The following is a 9,946-nucleotide window of genomic DNA, read 5'->3' as shown; positions in this document are numbered from 1 at the left end:
TAAAATTTGAAGGGGAGAATTCATCTAAAGCATATGACATGGTAATTTATATTTATATATTTTCCAGTATTTAGCAATTCTTCCATCAAACTACTTTGGTTACAGTGTAGTACATTATTTAGCAACTGCTGTGTTTGAGTCAACAATAATGTGTTTAAAATGTTTGCATTTAAATGTATGAGCAAAATGAAATGTACTTCTAGTTGTTTTTTTCATTATGTTTTTGTCTGTTTTGGTATCAATGCCTTTTTTGGTAGCTGGAATGATAGAATAATTTGGCAAATATTTGCTGTTTCTATTCCATGGAAGAGTTTGAAAAATATTACAATAAAACATTATTTGAAAAGCATTTTAATTTATTTCATAGACAAAAGGAATATTTCTTATTCAAAACTTCTATTTCTTTTTTTTAAAAGGTAGTGCAATATACACCATTTAAAAGTGTGGTTTAAAATATTTGTTTCATGTCAAATAATATAGCATCCCAATGTCATGTAAGATTAAATTTTCTCAGTTTCTGCTGGATAAAACCTATCAAAATAATTGTTTGAATATTTATTCATTATTATAAATTAATTTACAACTACTTTATTTAGATTGTCCTTCAGAGAGAACACTAAATTTGGTTTAAAATGGTAAATACAGAGAAAATACATCACTGAGTCATGATGCTTACAGCTTCCTTTGATGATAACTTGCAATTTCAATACTCCGCAGTACATTCTTGATAATTTTCAAGTGTTCTTCAATCTCAGCTAGTAAAATAAAAAATTGTTCATTAATTATCTCAAATTTACTCAAATATAGGGTAGGCAATAAAAAGGGAGAGGGTTCAATTAAAAATATAACATAAATATGTTTTTCAAAATATAAATATACCACTTTTAAATTAGACTCTCATTAGTGATCTGCTGTTTGTTATAATTTCCATATGTATTAGTAAGTAATCAATAGAGATGGTTGTTTTGTTGACTGATTTCTGGGTCTTAAGAATACATTTTATGTGAATATTTCATTTATAAGGAATAGAGACAGGATTGCAACAAAGTTATTGAAAATATGTTGAGATCACAAACTACAATTAATATAGTCTGTTTTTATTTTTGCATATAAGAAAGTGTTAAAAATTATTTGTTTAAAAATCTTCCTGTGGACAATATCTAAGTTGAAATAAGAAGAGGTAATGTATTTGAAATAACTTATAGGGAATCTTACCATGTAGAGCATTCATTTCTCTCAGCACCTCTCTCAAGCTAAGACACAGCCATTTGAAATTGTACATTAGGAATAATTTATGGGTACTAGCAATACTTATTGATTGATATTTACAGAAAGGCACATAGAAGCATTAGTTATCACTCTTTTAATAGTAAGTTTTATCAAACTGTTAGTAGGAAAATCAGTCTGACTTATTTTCCTCATCTCCTCTCAAAAGTATACTATATATATTGCCTGGAATTATTACATGCCAAACTTAGAGCTTGTTTTTGTTTCTTAAAATGGTAGTTAATAAATAACCTTAATGAGCAAACTAAATAGGAAAAAAGTAAATACTTTCAATACCTTCTCAAAACCAAAGCAAATATTACTTCAATATTGCAAATTACCCCAATAACGCAAACGTTAAAGATAAATTAAAAAAGAAAATAAAAACAAGAAAACAAATCTTCATCCTATTGGCTATTTTATGTATCAGAAGGAAACAAACACCAACATACCCTAAATTAAGTAAAAGAGATATAAATTAGTATTAATTCAATTATTTATTCATTAATATATCCAACAATTTAACTGTATATATTGAATGACTTTTTGATAATTAGCAGTGAAATTACCCTTGTTGGTACAACAGTAACCAGTGAATATGGTACATGGACTCTGCATTCAAATGTTAATGGTGCCAATACCTATGGTCTTTTGTCTTCACATAAGGAAAAGATGTGCAATTATGAAAATAGTTAAAAACATAAGTTCTGCCTTCAGCTTTCCTGAATCCGAAGTTACTGCTTATTTTTGTCTAACTAAAACACAAAAGCCTCAATCTAAATCTCAATATACTTGTCAGTAAAATTCACTAATAATAACTGCTGCTTAAAGATATTTTAATAAATGAGCTAACTTAAATAAAGATATTGATTTTCATTATTATGAATTAAATATAACTCAAACTATCATCTTTGAACACAATGCTTTAAGGGCTCGATAAAGTCATGTTCTAGCAATCTTATTTTGAAACATTTTTAACTGTTTCACATATAAACTTGCCATATGCAGCCAGAAGTAAGACACTTTCAGCCCTTAAGTAGGTCATAAAATGATCAAAATAAGTGGTGTGAATGTTTAGGTCAGTTATGAATTATAATATAAAGACTAAGATATGGAAAAACATAGGTTTTCATGTGGTCAGGAAGACCAGAAGGATGTTGAAACAAATTGATTTTCATCCAATTATTTTCCTAGTTCTTACGGCAATTTTAGCCGTTGTCATCTAGCCTTTATTTTTAAAGCAGCTTTCAAAATAATAGCCACAAGTTTGTGTGGCAGTTTCTCCTGCTCTCTTATTACAGTGAATATCTTCCCTCTATGGGTTTAATTATGGCTCTATCATTAACTACTTGGGTTATTTTTGATAAACTAACTTTACATTTCAGATTCATCATCATCAACAGGGATAATAAATGTCTAAGAGTTTAGTGAAGCTGGAAAAATGATGCATGTGATGTGCTTTACACATGCTGGACCTTCATTGTAAGATAATAGCTATTATCAGTATCATCAAAACCTAAATATCATTTCATAATCTTTCATTTCTAACTCATAGCTGTTGAAATGACATTGACTAAATGTGAACATTTCCACTCTCTTCTCTCATTTAATGCCTTCTCAAGTCTCAATTACTCCCAAACATATTTAAAATTTACCTTTGTTATTAAAATTTTGCCAACTGGTAGACAACAACATAGTAAGACAATGCTGATACAGTTTCTGCATGTGTGTGCGCTTTCATGAAGGTATGGTAGATTTCTGGCCGGGCGCAGGGGCTCATGCCTCTAATCCCAGCACTTTGGGAGGCCAAGGTGGGTGGATCACTTGAGGTCAGGAGTTCGAGACCAGCCTGGCCAACATGGTGAAACCCCATTTCTACTAAAAATACAAAAATTAGCCTGACGTGGTGGTGCATACCTGTAATCCCAGCAACTCGGGAGGCTGAGGCAGGAGAATTGCTGGAACCCAGGAGGTGGAGGTTGCAGTGAGCCAAGATCATGCCACTGCATTCCAGCCTGAGCGACACAGCAAGGCTCCCTCTCAAGAAAAAAAAAAAAAAATAGTATGATTGATTTCAAAATTTGGGTATAGGTACAGACAATAGTAAAATGTCAGATAACCTGAACTCAGATGATGTCTGTGTGGCCTCGACCTAATTAGATGGCTTCATTTTCAAAAATGGAAAACAGAAGAGTTATCTCAGATGGTTAAATGAAGAATAAATGAAATTATAAATTAAATTATATTTGTAAATCACTGTGTACTTTCCTTAAGTAAAGGCTTAACAAATGTTTGTCAGTACTATTATCGCTTGTGAGTTTCTATAGCTACATTGGGTCCTAATTAGAATAATTAATTTTTAATGGCTCTCACAAGTTCTGCTAATAGCAATAATAATGATAACAGTTAACCCTTATGTAGCCAGCAACAAGAACTATAAATCTAAAATATAAATTTTAAATAAATAAATGATGTAGGTACTCTGAAAACCAGGCTGTTTGAGGTATACAATGTGTAGTGAGTGATAATATATATTTTTTTCTGTTGAGATACTAAAAAGTTTAAGTTGTAGACTATTAAAAAATAGTTGCAAGAAGTTAATATAATCATTCTGGGCCTTGAGAGTGTGTTGAAACCAATTATATTTCAAGGCAATTTTCTCACTGCCTTTGATTCTCCTTTGGTAATTCTAATGGAATCCAAATTGAGGAAATTGCAACTTATACTGCAATTTGTAAATGTCTTTGTAATTTCAAAGGTAGAATATGTTATAGGATGACATTTTATGTAGAAGTTATGCTAAATTACTCAGCTTTCAATATAAATACTGGCTTTGAAATGATGGTTGAGAGCTTCTGCCAGAATTATCAGTGGAACCTGGGAAATAGACATTTCATAAAGCATGAAGTGCTTGCTACATATCTTATGTAAATCAATGACAATATAACTAGATTTCATAAAAGTTAAGGGAATTTTTGTACATATGTTATTTAAAATTAATTAAATCCTGGATCAGATCCTAATATAGCATGTAATATGAAACTGAATAGTCTTAATATGTACTATTTTATATTCAAAGAAACTTGCATAATCTAAGGATAAAGTCACAATTTGTTATTATAATTTATTGACCATAGAAGATGTAAGTCAGTAGTTGTTAATCAAAAAGAATTTTCCACAGTTTTACTTCAAAATTCCCACTGATCATGTAGTTGATGTCATCCAAACTTCAAAGTTGACACATTTAATGTAGCTGAAATCTTTTTATAAAAATAAGAGTATGACATTATCAAATATTGGCTGACATTAATCACATGTACCTAAAAACCTCATGAAAAGAAAATGGTTTACAGAGCTAGAATCAAATAAAAAATCTTATGAAATTAAAACTAATTATGTAACATTGTAAGTAGGACCCCAAAGTTAGCATTTAAGGAACTTGTGAATTTTAAATGAAGCCAATTTTATTCCATTGGACGCAGTTATTGAATAACTTCATTTAAGAACACTGAATATTCTTTTGCTAAAAGGGATAAACTTTGTGAACATTTAAAAATGTGGCTTCATATCTCAGTATTATATAACAAAAAGAGTATAAAACTACAATGAAGAAATTTGGTTCTCTGAAATGTGTGTTCTAATGTTGCATCTATCATATTCCTGCACCACAATTTTTGTGACATATAATGAACATATTGTGTTTAGTGATACCCTAAGTTCCCTTCCTATTCTAACATTTTGTACTTCTAAACAAGGGCATGTAGAAAATATGATCTATCTATTATTACAAAACAAAACTCTAAGGCTAATATTGTAGCTAACAGAGGTAAGCACTATAAAATAACAGAGGAAGTACACTGTAAAATATAACAAAGGATTCTTGACCAAACATTGCTCAGGCTCCACCAAGCCATGACCTAGACAAGGCCTTGGCCTTTGGACTTTCTTGTCTGTCTTTGCATTACCCAAGAACTTGGCTAAGTCATTTTACTCAGAACCCTTTCCTTTGGTATCTAATTATCTTTGATATTTGATCAAATATCTAATTCCTTACCATCCCACAGGTGACATCTGATTTCACCCTGGCCTGATTTCAGCAAGAATACTAAATACCCCTTGCCCCTCATGTTTCCTCTTAGAAATTTTCCCCACTTCCTTGACTATAAATCCCTATTTTTCCTTTTTCTCAAAGTTGAGCCTAATCTCTCCTTCCTACTACAAATCCCCACTGCAGTAGTAATTCCTTCTTGAGCAAAGTATTTCTTGTCATCATTAACAATTTTCACAATAATTTTTCCTTAATAAGTATTGGACTCCTAGTCAAAACTTATATTTAACTTATATTTAAATGTCAAGCAAATGTTGTTTTATAAATGTTAGTCACTTAAATGACCAGTTTGTTACCACTTAACATTTTAAATGCAGAAGCTGTGCTTAGATACAATTTATAAAATTGCACCTAATTAATCATGAGGTCACTTTTCATTAGGATTAGAGTGACCTCACATTTCTTAGAGTTTCCAGAAAATCTGATTTTATTCCTCTTGAAGTTCTTCCTTAAAAGGTTTTGTTTAAAAAAAAAAACAACAACAAGAAACTAAAAGCTAAAAAACTTCATTTTTAGTTCTTGTTTTTTTTAATATCAATTTGTTAATAATCTGGCAGATCATTTTCTTTCTTAAGGTTCATTTCTGTTTCTCTTTTCAATTTTTTAACAAAATTATTTTACACATGTTATCATAATTGTATCTTCATTATACTGTGCTCCTAAGAGACTGAGCTGGTGAGAAGTAGAGAATCAGCCCATTACAAGGAACATCTCATGTTTAGAAGAAGTGGGTAGTGTATGCACTAAACAGCTTTAAGGAGCAGAATCCTGAAGATTTTCCATAGCAAGAGACATGGTATTTAATTTGTTAACACTGACCAGCACACAGCTATGGAGAATCTTGGAGAAGAGTGTATGTTCACAAACAGAGTTACTGCTTATAGAAGAAAGAATAGCACCTAAATTAAATAAATGAAGGAAAATTCTTGGGGCTTGCAGAATTTTTTAATTCTGGAAAAGACTTAGACTATTAGAAATGGAAGCAAAAGCTGAAATACAGAAATAGATGTTGATTTAGTAAGGCCATGCATAGCTGAAAGATTATGGATTCTGAGACAGAATAGTGACAAATGAATTGATGTGCCACTTTCCAAGAAAACTACTTAATGCTTTTGAAGCTATTTCATCTATAAAATGATAATAATATCTACATGGAAGTGTTGTAGTGAAGGTTAGGAGAAAAAGAGTGTCTGTACAATATTCTGTGCAGTAGCTTATTGATGTCAAATTAAACACAGGCTTTTTACTTTTTGCATTATCAGGGTTAGTTAGACACTTTACTAATAATCTTGGCATTCTAATTTTAATGATTTATAAATCATATTGTGTTGTCCATATACATGCAGCCACTATATTACTTTTGGTACATGTATTTAATTACATTCAGGTTTGTTATTTAGTCAGAATAATTTTCCCTACAGGAAGTGAGATAACTTCATATGTAGTTCAATTTCAAAGAATGTTGTTACATAAAAGCTCAGTGTCAGGTATTTTCCACTTGTGTCCACAGAGGCTCTATGTTGAACTAGAACTTCCTACATCTGAGCATCTGCTGTATAATTTGATGTACTTCTTCAAGAAAGAAACGATCTCCAGGTTCTAGTATTATCTTCAATTTCTACTCATATATTTGTAGTTTATTTAACGATGCAGGAGAGGAGAAAAAGACAACTTGTGTGTGCATTACTAAGATTACTGCTCTGGGCAAAGGTAGTCGATTCTGCTGGGAACTCCTGAGAAACACCCAAATGCCTGCCATTATTCTCTACCTAAAGGATGGTGTACAGAGCCAGGAACATTTAATACATTTGTTTAGTCCCCTAACTTCCAAAAGCTTGAGAGGTTTCCTCATGGTATTAAATCTGCACACTTTTGAATTTCACTTGTGTGCAGCCTGTATAACTCTGATATATGTGCTGACGGAGAAGTCCCAGGGGAAAAACAAAGAGTAGTTGAAGTGAGATGTTGTCAACTGAAACTCAGTCTAATTCCACATGGGATTTCCCACCATAGCCAAGGCTAAAATCAGAAGTGAGCTCAAGAGGATGAGTGGTAGCAACAGATGCATCAGATGCAAGTATGAAGTGCACAAACAGTAAGCCTTTCGACTGGACTGACATCACAGCACACCTGGGCAAGGAGGTGAACAGAAAAATTGGAATCTGGATTAAAAACAATGTCAAAGTTCATCAGCCAAAGTTACAAAAATATTTTTACATTTCTTCTAATTTTGTTCATTTTGTGTAAAACTTCAAATTACTTGTGGTAAAGTTGTTCAAAATGTCTTCATACTATATTTTTAATATCTGAAAACTCTATAGTGATGTCACTATTTTAATACCTAATATCATATGTATTAAAATTACTCATTGTATTTGTACTTTTTGTTTTATATTAGTTGCATGAACATTTTGTTTATTAATGTTTTTTCCAAAGAACAAGTGTTGACTTTGCTAATTTACTCATGTACATATTGTTTTTGAATTGCTACTTCTTTACATTTATTGTTCTTTTTCTGTCTTCTGAAGATAATGGTCATTACTTGATCTTTTATGATATATGCATTCATTCTTATACCTTGTCCCTTATAGAGAGATACTGGTAGCTACATTCTCTATGTTTTGCTGTATAGTCACTGTCTTTATGTACACTGTGATTTCTTCAACTACAATTTATAGAAGTACATTTATTAATTTCAAGGTATGACTTTTTCAGCTATCTTTTTGTTATTCATGTACACATTAATTTCAATCTATTCAGATAACATAATTTCTATGATTTCAATCTTTTGAAATGTGTTGAGGTTTCCTTTTGGTCAAGCATGCATCCTGCAGTTAGGGATACAATATCCATTTGGTCAAACTTTCTGATTTTCTTTCAGTTTGTTATATATTTACTTAAGCTTTCCAGAATTTTTCATCATTTTCTACAAGTTGTCACAAAATTGTAGTAAATTTTATACTTGCCTACTTCTTCCTGTAAATATGTATTTTTGTGGATTATATTTCATTATTTCGCCATGCATATTCACATTAAGAATTTTCATCATCTTGGGTAGTTGAAGTTCCCTTTATCCCTATAAGGTCATTCAGCATACTGCTGGTCATGGTTTCAGTCTTAGAGACAACCTGTCTGATATTAATATAGTAGCACCAGCTTTTATTTAGTTAAGGTTGGCATGACATCTTTGTCCATCTTTTTCTTTCAAACATTTTGCATACTTTTTGCTTCAATGAACAACATAGAGGTTGTTTGTTTTCTCCCCATAAATCTAACCTAACTATATTTTTCTATTAAATGTCAACTTTAGCAAAATTGTATTTGAGGAAATTTTTCTATTAAATGTCAACTTTAGTAAGTCTATATTTGAGGAAATTTTTCTATTAAGTGTCAACTTCAGCAAGTTTATATTTGAGGAAATCTGATATATTTATGTTTCAATTCCTCATCTTATAATTTTCCTACTCTTTGTTCCATTTTCTATTTGTGACTTCTTTAATTAATTGTTTTAATAGTTGATCTTTTTTCTCATGATTTCCGTGGTTGTTAAACATTATTTTACTACATTTTTATTGATTAATATGCAGACTACAACATGAAACTTTGATTACTACCATACAAAATTGTTTCTTATTGCTGTTTACTTTTTGGACAGTAAAAGGCCCTTAATACATGTTAACTCACTCTAGTGTTTTCAAATCTATATACGTATATATGTGTGTATCTATATATATGTCATATATATACCATATGTATATATATGTCATATATATAGTATATATATATACAAGGTATATATATATGGGGTGTGTGTGTGTGTATATATATATATATATATGGGGTGTGTGTGTGTGTGTATATATATATGATGTGTATATATATATATATGGTACAACAAACCTGTAGTAACAAAATACCAGAAACTGGCTTCATTAAAGAATAAGAGTTTATTGCCCTAAAGTTCTAGAGGTTAAAAGTCTGAGATCAAGCTATTGGGAAGGTTAGTTTCCTCTGAGGGCTGTGAGGAAGAATATGCTCTGTGCTCTCTCTTAGCTTCTGATGGTTTTCTGGCACTCTTTGATGCAACTTGGTTGCAACTATATTACCCAGATTTCTGCTTTGATCTCACAGTATTCTATTTATAAGGGCACCTGTCACATTGGATTAGGGGGGTCCCCCTATTCCAGTATGACCTAATCTACACCAATTTCACCTGTAATGACCTTATTTTCACATAAGGTCACATTCTGAGCCTTCTGGGGTACTGGAGATGAGCATTTCAATGTATGAATTTTTGGGGGACACAATTCAACCTCATATATGTGTGTGTATATCAATATAATAATTATATAACAATAAATATTACTATATTACTATATAAAATTATGTTACACATTTAAGTTAATTTAGAATTTACTCACATACTTAAAATTGTTCTTGCTTTTGGACACTTCTTGTGTCTCTGATCCTCCAGCTTGTATTATTTTTATTCTGCCTGGCAAATAGTCATTAGAATTTCTTTAGTGCATATGTTCTGGTAATAATTCCCTCAGTTTTTAGGTCCGAAAATAA

The 9,946-nt window shown here is 31.1% G+C and overlaps 1 long non-coding RNA gene across 4 annotated transcripts in view; it reads right to left on the bottom strand.

Moving 5' to 3' along the window:
* Positions 1-341: 341 nt before the first annotated feature.
* Positions 342-9,946, bottom strand: part of LOC105370467 (uncharacterized) — a 186,853-nt gene continuing 177,248 nt past the window's right edge. For 2 of the 4 annotated variants that reach the window (XR_007064130.1, XR_007064131.1), the window contains one exon: positions 676-755. This is a non-coding gene — a long non-coding RNA (uncharacterized LOC105370467). Of the gene's footprint in view, positions 756-9,946 lie in introns of all 4 variants that reach the window. The other 2 variants (XR_007064132.1, XR_007064133.1) reach the window with 2 other exon arrangements.

The sequence above is a fragment of the Homo sapiens genome, chromosome 14 (assembly GCF_000001405.40).
Source record: "Homo sapiens chromosome 14, GRCh38.p14 Primary Assembly".
NCBI classification, from domain to species: Eukaryota; Metazoa; Chordata; class Mammalia; order Primates; family Hominidae; genus Homo; species Homo sapiens.
Note: the sequence above shows the minus strand (reverse complement) of the source record. Positions and strands in the feature narration are given on the sequence as shown.